We start from the raw sequence: 19,806 nt of genomic DNA, 5'->3' as shown, positions 1-19,806 counted from the left end.
TTACATATGTACAAGCCTTTGACATATGATAAAGCCCTTTTACAAGCCCAGATCAACATACTTAAAATATTTCCAGCACTCTCATAATACTTTTACAATACCCCCAGTGGTAACCATTATTCGGAACTTTGTCATGATAGCTTGTTTGTGCTGTGTCTGAACTTCATATTTATATGAATTGCACCATACAGTATAAAGTTTTTGTAACTGGCTTCTTTGGTTCAGCATTTTGTCTGTGATATTATAATTTTGCATGAAATAGTTATGCAGTCTCGTTAATTTAGAATGCACAATTTATCCATATTACTGTTGCTTCCAGTTTTTATCTCATGTGAATAAAGCTGTTAGACACATTTGGGTATGTATTTTTTTGGTGAATATAAACACTCATTTATTTGGGTATAAACCTAGGAGTGGATAGGCTGGGTCATAGGCTATACATATGTTTAGCTTCAGCAAATACAAAGAGAAATATTTCCAAAGAGGTTGTATCAATTTGCACCCTCACCAGCAATATATAAGAGTTCCACTTGCTCCACATCCTTGGAAACACTTGGAATTGGCAGCCTTTATAATTCTAGTTATTCTGGTAGGTATATGGTGGTATCTCTTATATTCTTAATTTGTATTTTCCTTTTAATCTGGTTGGCCATTTGTATATTCTCCTTTATGCTTCTTTAAGAATTTCTTCATTTGCCCTTTTAAAAATATTAGACTAACAATTGATTACTTACATACTTTAAGAAATATTTTACATATTTGAGGGTATAAATCCTTTGTCAAAGATGGATAATGCAAATACATTCTGTGGCTTGTGGATTTATTCCCCTAATGTCTTTTGATAAATAAATGTTCTTAATCCTAATAGATGCCAATTTATTAAACTTTTCCTTTGGTCTTTTCATTTCCTTTACCAAGTATTTGCCATCTCCAAGATCATGAAAGTATTTTCCTAAAGCTTTAGTAATATATAAACCTAAACAGTTTTGTACATGGTGAAAGGGGCCAAGATTAATTTTTTTCAGCATATTGATATCCACTTGGCTCAGTACCACTTATTGAAAAATCTATCCTTTTCCCAGTAAATTTAAGTGTCAAATTTGTCATAAATCACTGTTACTAACTTAATTACTGTCTTTTAATCAATTCCAGTATTTTGCAGTGCAGTCCTCTAGCATCGGCTTTCTTCTTCAAGATTCTATTACCTATTCTTGGCCTTTACGTTTCCACATATCTTTGAATATCAGCTTGTCAATTTCCATAAATATTTTCTGAGATTGAAATTGAATTTCCCGAAACTCTAGATAAATTTGCAGATATTTGACATCTTTACAAATTGTATCCATTAATGCACAAGGTTGGAATCCTCCTTCATTTCTCTGTCTTATTTTCTTCAGTAATAAGTTGTAGTTTCCTGTTTAAGATATATTTTTCATTAGATTTGTTCCTAAGTAGTTGATATTTTAATGCTAATATAAATTAATTTTCTAGTTTATATTTATTGTCTAATTACTATTGTTAGTATGAAGACATAAAATTAATAGCTCGATTAATCTTGTATCCAGAGACCTTGCTAAATTATCTTATTAATTCTAATAGTTTGCGATAGATTCCATGGGTTACTCTATGTATCCAAACATGCTATCTGTAAATAATGATTATTTTATGTCTTCTCTTTCAAGCCTTATATGTGTATTTTTTCTTTTGCCTTGTTGTAATGGATAGGACCTCCAATGACATATTTAGTCAAACTGGTGTGAATGGACAATTTTTTTCATTTCAGATATCAGGAATAAAGCTTTTAATATTTCAACTTTAAGTATGATGTTTGTTACAAGAATTATATAAATACTCTTTATTTGCAACACATATAAATAAACTATTGCTTTTTTTGCAAGTTTTAAAACATAAGTAGGTATTGGATTTATTATAAATATATGTTTTTCTACTTCTATTGAGACCTTCATATTTTCTTTTTTTTCTGTTGCTGTGGAAAGTTACACTGACTGAGTTGGATAATAAAACTATCTTCCATTCCTGAAATAAATGTAACTTTATCATGAAATAGTTTCTTTTTTTTGGTATATCACTAACTGAATTTTATTTCAAATATTATGTTTAGGATTTCTGCATTTATGTTCATGAAAGAGACTGGCTTATAATTTGCCTTTCTTGTGATGTATTTCTCAGGTTTTGCTATTAAGGTTATTACTGCTTCATAAAATAAGTTTTATATCTTTTATATAAATTTAGCAAAATTGTATGGGCTTGGATATTCTTTGTGAGAAGATGTTTAATTTTGGATTTAATTTCTTTTATACATATTTCAAGGTCTTGAGATGAAGCCTGAGGTCATTGGTTTTCACCTCTCTTCTTTTTCTAAGATAAGCATATATAAATTGTAAATGATATTTATAAATCTAACAAGCACAGCTTAAGCTGTATCCCACAGGTTGTGGCATATCTATCCCATCTCCATTTAGTTTAAAATATTTTCTAATTTTCAACATTATTATCTTCAATTTGTAAACATTTTGGTTATATTTTCTTATTGATTCTTACCTTGATATTAATTTCATGCTTTCAGAAAACACACATAATTTGAATGCTTTGAAATGATTTGAGCCTTTCTTTATAATGCAGCAGAAGGTCAAGTCAGGTTAAATATTCCATGAGCAGCTGCAAGGACTTTAGGCTCAGCTAAAAATCATATTTGTGAGACTCAAATAAGCCACACCTGGTTTCCAGGGGCACAGAGCCTGAAAGTTAATAAAGATGAATTTCTCCTCCAGAAAGGAAAAGGGATTTGTTAATTTTTTTTAACAGTAGACAACATATGACCTTAGAACACTTTCACTTCATTTACCCTCCCATATTTTTGTTAATTTTCTTGCTTTTTAATTCTTTCCCTTTCTGTCTCCTTACACACACACACACACACACACACACACACACTTTTTAAAATTGTGATGTAATTTTGAAGCGTCCTCGTTGTCTGGGTTGACACCAGAGGTTCTTGGTCTCATGGCCACTGAGATCAAGGACGTGGACACACACAAAGGGTGAGGTTTACGGCAGAATTTTAATAGGCGAAAGAGAATAGCTTTCTGCTACAGAGAGGGGTCCTGGAAAAATGGGTTGCCGATCCATGGTGAAATGCAGGGGTTTTTATAGATGAGCTAGTGGGGAGGCGGTGTCTGATCTACATAGGGTGCAAAATCTCTGGCAGCCCCCACCCCAATTTTGGTTATGCAGGTAGGCGGCTCCTCCATGTTGCTTCTTTCTTTCTCACTGTACACGTCCTAACAAAAAAGGGAAGGTGGAGCCCGCATGGTGGATATGCCTGGCCCCAAGCAGCCCTTCCTATCGGTGCAGCTGCAGGCATTCCATTGTGCAAGCTTCCAGCTTCCTTATCTATGTTTGCAGCTCGATCTTTCAGGCTGCTCTTTGTTAGAAAAGAAATGATTTCTTGGGCTGCTTTTTGTTACAAGGGACATTCCACCAAGGATTCTTTTGCCCTCATTATCTGCGTAAATAATTTCTTTCTATCTCCTGTATCAATTTCAAACACAAAGAAGTACAAAAACTTGCCATTTATCTCCTACACAAATTCACCAACTGCTTATATTATTACTCTGCTTTCTTTATTGTTTTCTCTATTGTAAGGCTCAATCTATCTGTGGCTTTTCTCTGGTGTAGTTCCCCAGGGTTCCTAACTGAGACCCTGTGGTATTTCCAGAGCCACCTCCTTTCGAGTTTTGAATCCACTTGCTGCTCCTGAGGATTGCGAGGCTGCTTTTCTGACACATGCTGCTTGGCTTCTTAGTGGCCTGCCAGAGCAGCTGAATTAGAACATTCCTGAACTGGAAAACACACTCCAAGAGTAGGTCTCACTTGGCCTCCCTTTTCCAAAGGATCTTAATCCCTCAAGTCTTATTTGCCTTGGGAACCCCAAACTGCACACAGACCTCTGCTGGTTTCTCTGCATTTTAGCAGCCATGCTCAATCTGGCCTCTTTATCCTCTTGCTTTGCCTTATGTTAGCAAACAACCCAAACAGAAAAGCTGAGGCAGTAAACTGAGCTCAGAAAATGTCCTTCTCTCTAGGGCCTGGCCTCTACTTCTTGGCTGCCACAGCAGTATTCTGATGCCATCAAACTGACATTTTTGTATTTTGTATAGTTTAAATTTTTTTTTCAGTAGCAGCGCTGGTCTGATACCTGGCTGGGATCCAAATCCCTTACTTTCATATTTCTAACAAATTTACTTAAAGCTGTTACCTTTTTTTAATCACCTATGTAGTCTACTATTATGTAGACTAATTTCCTATTACATAAAGTGAAGATTTATCTTCTACACTTTCCCCCACACAAAAATGTACACACTTCCCCATTCCCAATGCTGTGTGTGGGGAAAAGCAAGAGAGATCAGATTGTTACTGTGTCTGTGTAGAAAGAAGTAGACATAGGAGACTCCATTTTGTTATGTACTAAGAAAAATTCTTCTGCCTTGAGATTCTGTTAATCTATAACCTTACCCCCAACCCCGTGCTCTCTGAAACATGTGCTGTGTCAACTCAGAGTTAAATGGATTAAGGGCGGTGCAAGATGTGCTTTGTTAAACAGATGCTTGAAGGCAGCACGCTCATTAAGAGTCATCACCACTCCCTAATCTCAAGTACCCAGGGACACAAAAACTGCGGAAGGCCGCAGGGACCTCTGCCTAGGAAAGCCAGGTATTGTCCAAGGTTTCTCCCCATGTGATAGTCTGAAATATGGCCTCGTGGGAAGGGAAAGACCTGACCGTCCCCCAGCCCGACACCCTTAAAGGGTCTGTGCTGAGGAGGATTAGTAAAAGAGGAAGGAATGCCTCTTGCAGTTGAGACAAGAGGAAGGCATCTGTCTCCTGCCCGTCCCTGGGCAATGGAATGTCTCGGTATAAAACCCGATTGTATGCTCCATCTACTGAGATAGGGAAAAACCGCCTTAGGGCTGGAGGTGGGACCTGCGGGCAGCAATACTGCTTTGTAAAGCATTGAGATGTTTATGTGTATGCATATCTAAAAGCACAGCACTTAATCCTTTACATTGTCTATGATGCAAAGACCTTTGTTCACGTGTTTGTCTGCTGACCCTCTCCCCACAATTGTCTTGTGACCCTGACACATCCCCCTCTTCGAGAAACACCCACAAATGATGAATAAATACTAGGGGAACTCAGAGGCTGGCGGGATCCTCCATATGCTGAACGCTGGTTCCTCTGTTCCCCTTATTTCTTTCTCTATACTTTGTCTCTGTGTCTTTTTCTTTTCCAAATCTCTCGTCCCACCTTAGGAGAAACACCCACAGGTGTGTAGGGGCAACCCACCCCTACACTGTGAAAATATATACATAACAATTTTTTGTTAAAATAAAATTTAACTTTTATTATAAATATATTAATATTTTCTTTTGCTCCATATAATGCACTGTGACCACATTTCTTTTCATATATCACCATTTGTTTTTCCTGGACTTAGTAATTATATCCACTTACTTTTATTTCCTTTGATCACTAGCTGTTTTAGTTCCCTATTGTCTACTGTAACAACTACCACACATTTGGTGGCTTAAGACAGTACAGGTTCATTCTCCTACAGTTCTGGAGTTCAGATTTAGGAAATCAGTTTAACTGGGCTAAAGTCAAGGTGTTTGCAGGGCTGGTTCCTTCTGGAGGATCCAGGAGACCATCCATTTCCCTGACTTTTCCAGCTGCTGGAGAACACCTGTATTTCTTGTCTCTGTCTTCTTGCTTCTGTTGTCCATCTCCTATCTCCTTCTTTGACTTTCTTGCCTTCCTCTTATAAAGACCTTTGTGATTACATTTAGGATTCACCCCAATAATCCAGGATAATCTCCACATCTCGGGATCTTGAATTTAGTCCCATCTGCCAGCGTCTTTTGCTACATAAGGTAACATTCACAGATTCCAAGGATCAGGAGATCTCTTGAGGGTTGGTTATTCAGCCTCCCACACTAATTCAACCTCAGACTATCTCATAAAAATAGGAGTCCCATTTCAGTAGTGACAATTACAACTGGAAGGTTTTCAACTTCATTTCATTCTTGTATGCATATTCGATGATATCCCCTGCTTACCAGCTCCATTCTGGATCACTTGTTCTCTCACCCAGCTTTACTATCACTGGCCTGGTCATTAACTTTTTCATCATTCTGGAAATACCCTTTACCTTTCTCTTCTATTTCCTATATCCCATGACTTCTCTTTCCTAATTAGCTCTGTTAGTTTGGTGGAGCAACTCTTTCAGCAGCTTCCTGAGAAAGAGCTCATAGAAATAAATTTATTGTGCCCATATAGGCCTGAAAATGTTGCCAGTGTGCTGGTAGAGCTTTCTAGTGGTGTCCCATATTTAATTTTCTTCTTTTGCCTTAGATGTCACTAGGGTTACAAACCCCAGCCCCCTTGTAGTTAGGTGGAGGCTTGCTATCAGTTTTGGATGATCAACTGTGAGTGGAGGTGATGTGTCACTTTGGGCGCATAACATTTAAGAGCCAGCACAGTCTCCTGACTTTGTTTCATCCACTGTCACAGCTATGCTGGAGGCTACAGACTGAGATGGTAGAGCCGCAAGATTAAATAGCTCTGCCCAAGTCACTGATTCATTGCTCATTAGGAAGCTGCCCTGAAGAGCTGCTGGCTTGCAGTAGATTTTGCATGAGTGAGAAGTAAACTTATGTATTTAACATCTGAGATTTTTGGGGGTGTTTTTTACCACAAAATAACCTAGCCTGTCCGACCAATACAGGTAAGCACTGAATTTTAGATTGGAAATAATTTTCCCTGATAATTGTGAAAGTATTTCTCTATTGTTTTCTACCTTCCAATGTTCTGCTGAGGAGTCCAAAATCATTCAGATTTCTGATACCATTTTTAAAATTATTTTTTCTTTCTTCAAAATAATGGATTGTCTTTTTATAATCAGTGTTCAAAAATGTCATAAGAATCTGCTTTGTTGTGAATCTTTTTGTTTAACTTGTGGATGTTCTATGGGCTCTTTTATCCTAGCAAATCATTTTTCAGTTCTAACGATTTTATTATATTTGAAAGGTATCCTCTCTTTTGTTTTCTTTGTTTTTTTTTTCTTTCTGAAACTTCATATAGTTGGGTATTATACCTCCTAGATTAGTCTTTTTTTTTTATTTGTACTATCCAATTTCCCATTTCTTAGTTATATTGTGTTGAGATAGTTTCTCAACTTGATGTTCCAAATATTCCATCAATTTTTTAAAATTTTAAAAATAATTTTAATTTATGAGCGTTTTCTTCTTGTTTTCTGAATAATTTTTTATTTATAACAACCTCTTTTTATTTTATGGATGTAATATGCTATTTTATCTTTTTGAAGATGTGATATAGTTTTATAATATTCTCATCTGTTCCCCTATACAGTCTCTAATGATTTCTTTTGTTTATGTTTTGTGTCTGAGAAGCTATTTGCTTTTATATTAAAGCTGTTCATCAAATATTGGCTGCCCACTTAGATTTATGAGTAAGGCACTGAAGCTGATAAGAAGTTTCTTGTGTTTGGGCGGGACTTACCCTGTGGCTGGCATCAGTATAAGTGATGAAAGAAGGATTTAGCCACTTTAAAAGATCCCCAGAAAGAACTTTAGGTACTTTTACTGGCTAGACTGTTGGTATATCCAACTATAATTTCCTGCACTAGTGCTATAAGCTGAATATCAGTTTCCTCAGATCAAAGTATAGGAAGATTCTGGGGCTATTAGAATTACTTAATCCTTTTTCAGTAAGACATTCAATGTGTCATGCGTTGTCAAGTCCTGAGTTCTTCTGATTCACCTTTCAGAAAGTAAACATCCAGGCTTTTCCCGGGAAAGAGGAAGAAGTAGTTGTCCTCTTGCCCCAAGGAATGAAGGATACCTCAGGCTCTAACTTCTGAAGCTGACTTTCAACTAATCCTCTTGTTTTTAATTTGTGCTCTTTGGAGATAGCTGAGGCCTCAGATTTCTGACCATGTTGTGGTTCTGTCATGAGAATAAGTATGTGTCTTGGCCTTTTCACACACAGGCCCTCCCTCCTCACTCCTCCCAGCTCTATGTTCTTGGCTTTCAATTTTCTCAGCTTAGCCACCAGTTACTGCTACTTTCTATTTTATTTCTAGCTTCCACAATTTTGTCAACACCACTCCTCAGTTTCAGTGCCTTCTCCCATTCTCTTTATTTCACTGTAATATTAAATGATTGGAGGAAGGTTGGGAGCAGAGATAAAAATCATGTGTTTAATCTGACATGCTTCAGCTGATGCCACCAAATCCCACTCCAAGTTACTCACTTAACCTTTTGAGAATTTGACTATGATATCATCTATCCACCTTTATTCTTTATTTCCTATTCAGAGTGAAAACTTTTTTTTCATTAGAATAAAGCAATAATGTCTTACCTTCCTTTTACACTAGGAGATACTTGCTGTAGAAAAATGTGTAGATTTCTAGGACTCTATCAGACCCTATGCTTTCCCATAGGATGACCTTGTAGCTAGCAGGTAGACTAATAAACACTGACGGGCAGGAGTCAGCGGTCTTAGATATTCACATATAATGAGATAAAATATATAATGAGATGTCTCTTGCTGACCATATTGCTCTAAAAGATAGGCACCTTCTCTTTGTAGTTTCTTTGCTTTTTTTACGAAAAAAATTCATCAATCTCTTACCTCTCATTCCCTATTTATTCAGGATAAATCCATAAAGTGTAATGTGTCTGCATGATTGAGATTTGATTGCACGGACATGGAATAGAGGGTGCCTGGGGATGAGGATAAGAACGTGCTGAAGGGTTTTCTTTTCTGCTCTGGCCTATCTAGATCCTGTCATCTCTGAGCTTGGATCCCATAGCATGGCTAGATGAATAGTTCCTACTGTCTTCATGCTTGCTATTCTGTTAAGAATTCATCCATTTTATTTTTTACTATTTTGTGGAAATTTCTTTTGTTATCTTGAATCTAGTCCTTCTTCAACTTTGTTTTCACGAGTAATTCTGAGGGAAGGAACTATTAATCTGCTAGGGAATCTCTAACAGGTTTATGCTAATAAAGAATAAAAAGATTTGTAAACAAATATAGATTCTTAAGTAGCTTTAACAATAAAAAAAATCATTGCTTTATAGAGCTAAAACCCTTGTCTTCCCAAGCGTAACAATTCCACACAAGGATCACATTAATTCTTGATTAGGTAAGTGATCAATTATTTTCTGATAATCCCTTCAGCCTTCCAAACACCAAGGTAACCAATATTTGTTATTATTTTTGTACACATGACTAAAAGGAGATACCAAATTACTTGTACTGTGAATGATGCAAAGCGACCGCCATTGAATGGAATGGAAACATACGTCTATGCAGTTGATTAAAGATCTCAAAGTGAATTCCAAGTGTTTTGTTGCAAATCATAAGCTTAGCAAAGAACAGATGTAAGAGGCTGGTGTTGTGTAGATTACCATTTTATAGATAGAATTTTTTTAAAAGCATCCATGACACTTTGCTAAGCATGTGGCACCTAACTCCAATAGCTTGCTTGATGTTCTTAAGGTTCTGTAATATAACATGAAATGAGATACATAAGAACACTAACAGAATTGTCATTTGTTTCATGGAAAGGTAAACTTTCAGCTTTCCTGTCATGCAGTAATAGTCCCAATGTGTTTCCTTACAGCTATGGACAAATCACCCCAAACTTTACATGCCTCATTGTGAATGAGGGAGTTGGAAACCAGATCAACCACTTTCTTTTGATTTCTTTTCTTTTCTCTTTTCTTTCTTTTCTTTTTGTTCTTTTCTCTTTTTTCCTTTCTTTTCTTTTCTTTTTGAGACGCAGTTTCATTCTATCACCCAGGCTGGAGTGCAGTGGCGTGATCTCAGCTCACTGCAACCTCTGCCTCCCAAGTTCGAGCGATTCTCCTGCCTCAGCTTCCCAAGTAGCTGGGTTTACAGGAGCACGCCACCACGCCTGGCTAATTTTTGTATTTTTAGTAGAGATGAGGTTTCACCATGTTGGCCAGGCTGGTCTCAAACTCCTGACCTCAAGTGATCTGCCCACTTCGGCCTCCCAAAGTGCTGGGATTACAGACGTGAGCCACTGTGCCTGGCCTTGATTTCAAGTGTTATATTCTTGAGTAGAATTCTGGTAGAGGAAGAAATTTATAGATACATGATAAAATTTGTGTTTTACCCTTGAGCAGAGTTTCCACTGCCTCATCAGGTAAGAAAGATTCCAGTATTAAGTTCATATTAATTTAAATGTCAAGTAAATTTTTGTCATTGTTTGTTACCTTAAATTTCTCTCATGTCTTAGAATCAATACAGTGTTTTCCATGGTACAGTTCAAATACACTGCTTATCAGATATTCCTATTTCGAATAGAGAATTCAAGTACCTTTGAGATAGGAATAGTACTGGATGGTCACAGGAGGATACAAAAACCCAAACAACAGTTAAAACAAGAACTAGGCAAGGAAACCACAGCATAACAGAAAACCCCAAACAGGGAGAGAAAACGGCCAAAACCCGGGTCAGGGTGACATGTCCATGACTCTTCCTGGCAAACTCAAATAAAGGAAAAAGGGGATGGTAACTGGGGGGTGTCCCTGAAATCTCCTCCTTTTCTATCCCCTAATTAAAGAAACACTGATACAATTGGAAACCCAAACTTCATAGTGTGGGACTCCTTCTCACAAGCACATTGCACTTCTCTCTTAAGTGGGTACTTCAGCTTTGCAATAAAAGCTTTCCCCTTCATTCTCACTCTTCATTCTCTGGAAAGTGTCAAGAACTTGGAATTCTTTCTCTGGAGTGTGTCAAGAACTTGGCAAATGGGGCAGGGGTCTCACTGGCATCTGGAGATCCTCCTGAGCCCTCAGGCAACACCTTCAAAGGAATAGTTTCTGAGGCAGAAACCATAGGGTTGGACCCTTTTTATTGAGTATGACCCAGCTGCCTGGCTAAATCAGGCTGTCAGGGTTGAGGCAGGATAAAGAGGGAGAGGAAAGGGAAGGGGAGCTTTCCCAGCTTCTTGTCTGTAGGGCCTGTGGCTGAGGGGCTTTCATCTGAATTTGGGAAAGTGAAGGGGCAAACTTCCACAGGGCAGGATATAAGGGGTGATGATTGTGAACGTGCTTTGAGACAACTGAGTTTAGAGTTCGGAGATTAACATCTGCAAGGAAACAGTGATCTAAGAGGAAAACTAAAATGTTTCAGTTTTATATTTATAACACAGTTTAGTCATTGATTAACTTATCAGAGCTAGAATTTCTTCATTTGGAAAACAAAAAACAACACCTAATTCAGTGTAGTGTGGAGTTTAAATTAGCAGTAAGAAAGCTATAGGCAGTGTATGGCACAAAAAGGCTGCTCCCACCTACTTGTGGCTACCCCGTTGGGGACACTGGTGATCTGGTTATAAGCTCAGACCTTGGAGTCACTTGCTATGTGGCTTTGGGCCAGGCAGTTAACCACTGTGGGCCTACAGTTTCCTAATCTATAAAAAAAAGCACGTACTAATCATGTCTGCCTGACAGAGTTATTTTGAGAGTTGAGAGAAATGCATATTAAAAGTCTAGCAAAGAGCTTGAGGGAATGAGTGCTTCCTAAGTATATTAGCTATTCTAAGGTGTTTAGCTAAATTTGCTTTCAAGAATAAAGTTGTATTGCCATGTATACAGGGAGATAACTGTGTGGATATTGCAATGTTAGATGAACACTATTGACATGAAGAAGTTAAAGGATTATTGACACCATGTACCAGTCTAAATAATAATATGGATATTAGTTTATACTTTTTAGTTCTTAGTAGGTGCTATACCTTGTAATCCTTTAATCTCTATTATGACTCTATGAGGTAGGTATTGTTATTATCCCCATTTTATAAGTTAGTAGACTGAGCTATGACCTTAAGTAACATTTCCAAGTTACACAGAAACAACTAGTAGGTGGTGGAGTCAGGATTCAAACAGGAATATTCTGTCCCAGAGTCTGCATGTTCAAATGCTATACTATATGGCCTCTCAAGAGTGTTTTAATTCCAAGGGTCTGGAACAGATCCTGGCAGTGTACCGAAAAGTATACCGGATGATGTTATGAATGTGGAAAGTCACCAAAATAGTCTGGGGTGAAAGTCAAGGCAAACAAGGTCACAATGTAGTGATGAACAAACAAAAATATTAACAGATTGAGATCCTATTTAAGGTAAAATTATTATGAGTTGAGGAATAATTGCAGTTTCTTTTTATTTGGGTTTAGTGCGGTGTAATTTGTATACAATAAAATTTGCCCTTTATAAGTGTCTATGTGTTTTGACAAACCCACACTGTATTCAAAATAAAACTAGAGCCTCTGGTCCCTCCGAAGTCTATCCTCACACTCCTCTGCAGTTCACACTCGCAGACATCGGGCTTCGGCCGCTGACCACCACTCGTCTGATTTCTGGCTTCATAGGTTTCACTTTTTCAGAATCTCATTAAATCATACGGTATGTAGCCTTTGTGACTGGATTTTTTTCACTAAGCATAAAGTATTTGAGATCCGTCCATGTTGTTGCACATAGCAGGAGTTTACTCCTTTTTTATTGCTGCATAGCATTTTATTCTATGAACACACTAGTTTATTTATTCATTGATTGATTGACATCTCCCCCCTGCCCCACACTTTTCTGCTATTATAAATAAAGTTCCTGTAACCATTTGAAGGGAGTTCTTTGTGTGAAAATATATTTTCATTATTCTTGGATAAATATCTAGGAGTACAATTGCTTTATAGGAAACTGCCACTTAGAAACTGTTGTGTAAGGTAGCCGTAGTATTTTGCATTCTTAACATCAAACTATGAGGTTCCAGTTGATCTGTGTCCTCACCAGCACATAATAATGTCGGTTTTCTTAATTTTAGTCATTAAAATAAGTATGCAGTGCTATATCATTGTGGTTTTTATTGTGATTCTCTAATGACTAATAAAGTTGAACATCTTTTCATGTATTTAACTGCCGTATTTTCTTTAATTAAGTATCTGCTAAGTTCTTTTGCCAACTTTTTTTTAAATTGTTTTCTTGTGATTGAGTTTTAAGAATTCTTTACATATTCTGAATATGAGTCTTCTATTGAATATTTCTTATGTTCCCCAGTCTATTCATTATTTTCTAAATTGCCTAACAGTGTCTATCAAATGAAAAATATTTTTAGTTTTAGTTTGTTCTTTGTATATTCTAAAACATATTTTGCTTAACCCAATATTGGAATGATTTCTCTGTCATATCTTCCTGTAGAACTTTTATAGTTTTAGCACTTGCTTTTTGGTGTAAGAATTTTGATAAACAATTTTGAGTTGAATACGGTGTAATGTAAGTGCTGGGGATCATTTTTTTTTCCATACAGTAACCAATTGTTCTAGCACTGCTTGTTAATAATGGCTATCTTCATGTATCGAATTACCATGGCACTTCTGTATGAAGACCCATAATTGACATAATGTATGTGTCTAACTCTGGGCTCTCTATTCTGTTTCATTGATCTGTGTGTTTACTCTTTTCTTAAATCAAAATGTCTGGATTATTGTAGCTTCATAGTAAGTCTTGAAGTCAGGTAGTTTGCCTCCAATTTTGTCTTGCTTTTCAAAATAATTTTGGCGATTCTATATTCTTTTCCTTTTTGCAGTGGGTTGAATTGTGTCTCACAAAAATGACGTGATTAAGTTCTATACTCCAGGGCCTCTGAGTGTGACCTTGTTTGGAAAAAATGGTTTTGGCTAATGTAACTAAGGTAAAGGTCTTGAGATAAGATTATTTGGATTAGGGTGAGCCCTAAATCCAAAGACAAGTATTCTTCTGTATTAGTCTGTTTTCACGCTGCTAAGAAGAACTGCCTGAGACAGGGTAATTTATAAAGGAAGGAGGTTTAATTGACTCACAGCTCTGCAGGGCCGTGAGCCATCAAGAAACTTAAAATCATGGTGGAAAGATATGTTTTATCTTTCTTCACATGGTGGCAGGAAGGAGAAATGCTGAGGAAGGGGGGAAAGCCCCTTATAAAACCATCGGATCTTGTAAGAACTTACTGATTATCATGAGAACAGCATGGGGGTAACCGCTCCATGATTCAATTACCTCCCACCAGGCCCCTCCCATGACACGTGGGGATTATGGAAACTACAATTCAAGATGAAATTTGGGTGAGGACATAGCCAAACCAGATCACCTTTTAAGAGAAACGAAGGCACATAGAGACACAGAAGGAGAAGTCCTGTGAAGACAGAGGCAGAGATTGGAGTGATGTTACTGTAAACCAAGGAATGCCAGGGATTATTGGCAGTCACTAGACAAGACTCTCCTCCAAATCCTCCAGAAGAAACCAACTCTTCCAATACCTTGATTTTACAGTTCTGGCTTTCACAACTGTGAGAGAATAATATTCTGTGCTTCAAAGTGACACATAGGAGACTAATCAACTTTCCATATAAATTTTATAATCAATTTATTAGTTTCTATTTTTAAAAAGCCTTCTGGGTTTTCTTAATGTGATAGCAATGCATTTGTAGACTAATATTGAAGAGGTGACATCTTAAAAAATTGAGATTTTCAATGCATAAAAAATGATGTGTTTCTACATTTACTTAGATCTTCAATTTCTCTTAGCTATGTTTTGCATTTTTCAGTGTACAATCTCGCATTTTGTTGAATTTATCACTAAGTATTTTATGTTTTGTGATGTTTTATGAACATTTTAAAAATTTATTTTCAATGGATCATTGCTAGTATAAAGAGATGTAATTGATTTTTTTCTCATTGACTTTCCTGCAAACATGGTAAAGTAACTCATCAGACTAGATTGTTTGGGATTTTCTACAAAGGCAATTATGTCATTTATGTATTAAAATGGTATTACTTCCCAACCTAAATGATTTCTATTGTTACTGGTTTTTGCCTTACAGAATTGACTTGAGTTTCTAGGATGGTATTGATTGAGTAAAGAGATGGAAGGAGCATCCTTAACTTGACCCCAGTCTTATGACTAAAGCATTCATCTTTTTATATCAGTGATATAAAGTCAAGTCAAGTCAAGACTTGCATTATCAAGTCAAGAAAAATCTAAGCTATTCACATTTCCTGAGAATTTTATCATGGATATTTGTTAAATTTGGCCAAATAATTTTTAAAAATCTATTCTGTTGATCACATGGTTTGGTTTAGCTTTTGGTCTTATCAGTATGATAAATTCATTGATTTAATCAACCTTGTATTTTGTATCCTAGAACAAATCTTGCTTGGTCAGTATATATTTTTCTTGTCACATATTTCTAGATTTGATTTGCTGGCAATTCAGGCTTTATAAAATGAATCGAGATATATTCCCTCCACTTCTATTTTCAGGAAATATTTGTGTAGGATTAGTATTGCTTCTTAGTTATATGTTTGGTAAAATTCACCAGTGAAGCTACCTGGACCAGAATTTTTCTATCAAAAGGTTTTGAAGCACAAAGTCATTTATTTAATAGTTTAAAAATATAATAAATTTCAAGAAACTTATGCATTATGTAAATTCTTGAATTTACTGGCAACGGATAAAAGCTTGCTTCATTATTGTTCTTTTAACATCTGTGGGAACTCCAGTGATGCCCCTTTTTTTGATTCTTGTTGCTGATAATTTGTGCTTCTCCTTTTCATTTTTGATCAATATGTCTGGAATGTTACTTTTGTCATTCTAAAGAATGCAAAAAACATATAGTTCCTATATTTTAGCTGTTATTATATGCAATTCATATTGGCATCGGAGGCAAATATACATAATGACAATTTTGTGTTCCATCAAGGTTAGTATCAGAGATTTTGGTTTTCTTGTTTTTATTTGTTTTGTTCTTAATTACATTGATTTCTACTCTTGTTTATATTATTTCCTTCTTGCTTTGGCTTTAATTTTCTCTTCATATCTAGTTTCTTAAGGTGGAAGTTGAAATAGTTGATTTGAGTACTTCTTTTTTTTCTAGCTTAAGCATTTCATGCTATAAATTTCCTAATAAACACTGTTTTAGCTACAGGTCAAACAAATTTAATTTTGTAGCTTTATTTCTTTTTAATTAAAAATATTTTCAAATTTTCCTTGTGATGCCATCTTTGGCCCATGAGTTATTTAGAAGTGTGGTTGTAGCAGGCTGAATGATGCCCACCCAAAGATACCAGTCTTAGTCCCTGCAACCTGTAAATGTTGCTTTATAAAGAAAAAGGGTCTCTGCAGATGTGATGATGGTAAGGATTCTGATATAAGGAGATTATCCTGGATATTTTTCTGGAATGCTCTAAATCTAATTCCAGGTTCTTATAAGAGAGAGGCAGAGGGAGATTTGATATGCACAGAGAAAGAGGAGAAAGAAGTCATGGATGCAGAAATTGGAATGATGCAGCCACAAGTTAGGGCGGCCGTAAGAAACTGGAAGAGGCAAGAAAGAAATTATTCCCTCGAGCCTCATAACGAGCCCTTCTGACACCTGGGTTTGGTCTCCTGATACTGATTTTAGATTTCTGGCTTTCAAAACTGTGAGAGAATAAATTTCTGTTGTCTTAAGCCACTAAATTTGAGAGAATGTGTTACAGCAGCCTCAGGAAACTAACACAGTATTGTACTAATTTCCGCAATTGAGGATTTTTAAAAGATACTATTCTCTTATTGATTTACTGTTTAATTCCTTTGTGATCAGAGAGTATATGTTGCATGATTTCTAACTTTTTACGTTTTTGAAGTATTTTTTATGGCCTCAAATATGATCTATCTTCATGAATATGTTATATAATCTTGAAAATAATGTACATTCTGTTTTTGGGTGGAGTGTTTTATAAGTATCAATTAGGTTGAATTGGCAGATTAAATATAATTAACTTTTTGTAACTTCTACTTTTGCCATGCATCCATTAGAGATAGGGAAGAACTGGGACTCTGCTCTGCAATGTGTGGGGAGAAGTGCAAAACAAGTGGCTTTTCCATGATATGATTATAATTACCATGAAAGAGCACACCATTGCATTTCATCCAACTGGTCTGAATGCCAGGATGGATGGTACAAAATAACAGCACTCCTGGAATTCAGATTTGTTTAGAAAGTTGCTCTGATTTATTTAAAGCAATAAACTAAGAATTAATCTAAGAACTAAGAATGGTTCTCTTATTCAATATTGCATTTAACTAAAAGTATTTATTAACTATGTGTAAGGCAGAAAGATTACAATAATTTTAACCAGTTATATAGCTACACATTTGAATTTTTTCAATCTTCATTATCAATACATAAAATGTTCAGGAACTAAATGAGATTTTCTAATATATAAGGGAATGAAATCAACTAAAATTATTGGGAACTTAGATTTTATAAGTATTGGTCTTTCATATTTTTATTTTTGTATCATAGACAATGTTATACAAATATACTATTGCGTGTACTGATGTCGTTTTGTCTTCAATATTCAGTAATATTTGTTACAAGTTTCTATTTTTGGTGTAACATCCTTAGGTTGCTATGCAAAGAGTAAATCACGTTACTCACTTAGACTTTTTCTGAATAAATAAGTAATATTCATTTTATTTCCATTCTTTCAAAAATTAGTTGAGTATCTTGAGACATTTAAACTGTATAAGAGTTAGGGAAAACTAAGACTATAAACATAACCCTAATATTTTTCATTTCCCAGAGCATGGGGAAAGGTCATATGAATAGAATATTTCCACAACATGTGGTGATGATAATTTGATTAAATAAACATCACAAAGCCAATTAAGTCATTTTGAAAGTAAATACATGACTGGGTATATTCAGTACTCCAAAAATACATTTATTTGTGAGCATATATTCTTGCAGTTTAAATAGATTAACGTAAACATCAGGGAAAGGAAGTCGTTTTTCATTATAAAATATTTCAAATATACAAATACAAATAGATAGAATTTTAATAAATGACCATATATCCATGATCCAGATTTAACAAATGCCATTAGCAAAATTGCTGTAGGTTTTTAAAAGTAGTAAAACACTAATAGACCGGAACTCAAGCTGTAACTCTTTTTACCCTATTTCCATTTCTCCTTTTCTAGAGTTTATCATTCTTCTAAACTTAGATATACATTTTTTTTTTTTTGAGATGGAGTCTCGCTCTGTCACTCAGGCTGGAGTGCAGTGGTGCGATCTTGGCTCACTGCAACCTCTGCCTCCCGGGCTCAAGCGAGTAGCTGGGACTACAGACACCTGCCACCACGCCCGGCTGATTTTTTGTATTTTTAGTAGAGACGGGATTTCACCATGTTAGCCAGGATGGTCTCCATCTCCTGACCTCGTGATCTGCCTGCCTTGGCCCCCCAAAGTGTTGAGATTACAAGTGTGAGCCACCGCTCCCAGCTCACTTTTTTTTTTTTAAGTTCTGGGGTACATGTGCAGGATGTACAGGTTTGTTACATAGGTAAACGTGTGCCATGGTGGTTTGCTGCACCTATCAACCCATCACCTAGGTATTAAGCCCAGCATGCATTAGCTATTTATCCTGATGCTCTCCCTCACCCTGCCCCCTGACAGGACCCAGTGTGTGTTGTTTCCCTTCCTGTGTCCTGTGTTCACATTGTTCAGCTCTCATTTATAAGTGAGAACATGGGGTGTTTGGTTTTCTGTTCCTGCATTAGTTTGCTTAGGATAATGGCTTCCAGCTCCATCCATAGCCCTGCAAAGAACATGATCTCATTCCTTTTTATGGTTGCATAGCATTCCATGATGTATATGTACCTCATTTTCTTTATCCAATCTATCATTGATGGGCATTTGGGTTGATTACATATCTTTGTGATTGTGAATAGTGCTGCAATGAACAAACGTGTGCATGTATCTTTATAATGGAATGATTTATGTTCCTTTGAGTATATACCCAGTAATGGGATTGCTGGGTCAAATGGTATTTCTGGTTATAGGTCTTTGAGGAATCAGCACACTGTCTTCCACAATGATTGAACTAATTTACATTCCCACCAACAGTGTAAAAGCATTTTGATTTCTCTGCAGCCTTACCAGTATCTGCTGTTTCTTGACTTTTTAATAATCTCCATACTGACTGGCATGAGATGGTATCTCATTGTGGTTGTTCTCCAGTGATCAATGATGTTGAGCTTTTTTTCATATGTCTGTTGGCCACATAAATGTTTTCTTTTGAGAAGTGTCTGTTCATGCCCTTTGTCCACTTTTTGATGGGGTTGTTCTTTTTTTCTTGTAAATTTGTTTAAGTTCTTTGTAGATTCTGCATATTAGACCTTTGTCTGATTCATAGATTACAAAAATTTTCTCCCATTCTGTAGGTTGTCTGTTCACTCTGATGATAGTTTCTTTTGCTGTGTGAAAGCTCTTTAGTTTCATTAGATCCCATTTGTCAATTTTTGCTTGTGTTGCAATTGCTTTTGACATTTTTATTGTTAAATCTTCTCCCATGCCTATATTCTGAATCATATTGCCTAGATTTTCTTCTAGGGTTTAAAGGCATTCTTCATTTCTGTTTCAGTGTTTTGATACCTAACATTTCCTTTTTTTTTCTTCTCCCAAGATGGAGTCTTGCTCTGTCACCCAGAGTGGAGTGCAGTGGTGTGATCTCGGCTAACTGCAACCTTTGCCTCCCTGTTTCAAATGATTTTCATGCCTCAGCTTCCTGAGTAGCTGGGACTACAGGCACGCACCACCATGCCAGGCTAATTTTTGTATTTTCAGTAGAGATGGCATTTCACCATGTTGG

This window comes from Homo sapiens, chromosome 18 (genome assembly GCF_000001405.40).
Source record: "Homo sapiens chromosome 18, GRCh38.p14 Primary Assembly".
Lineage (NCBI taxonomy): Eukaryota > Metazoa > Chordata > Mammalia > Primates > Hominidae > Homo > Homo sapiens.
Note: the sequence above shows the minus strand (reverse complement) of the source record.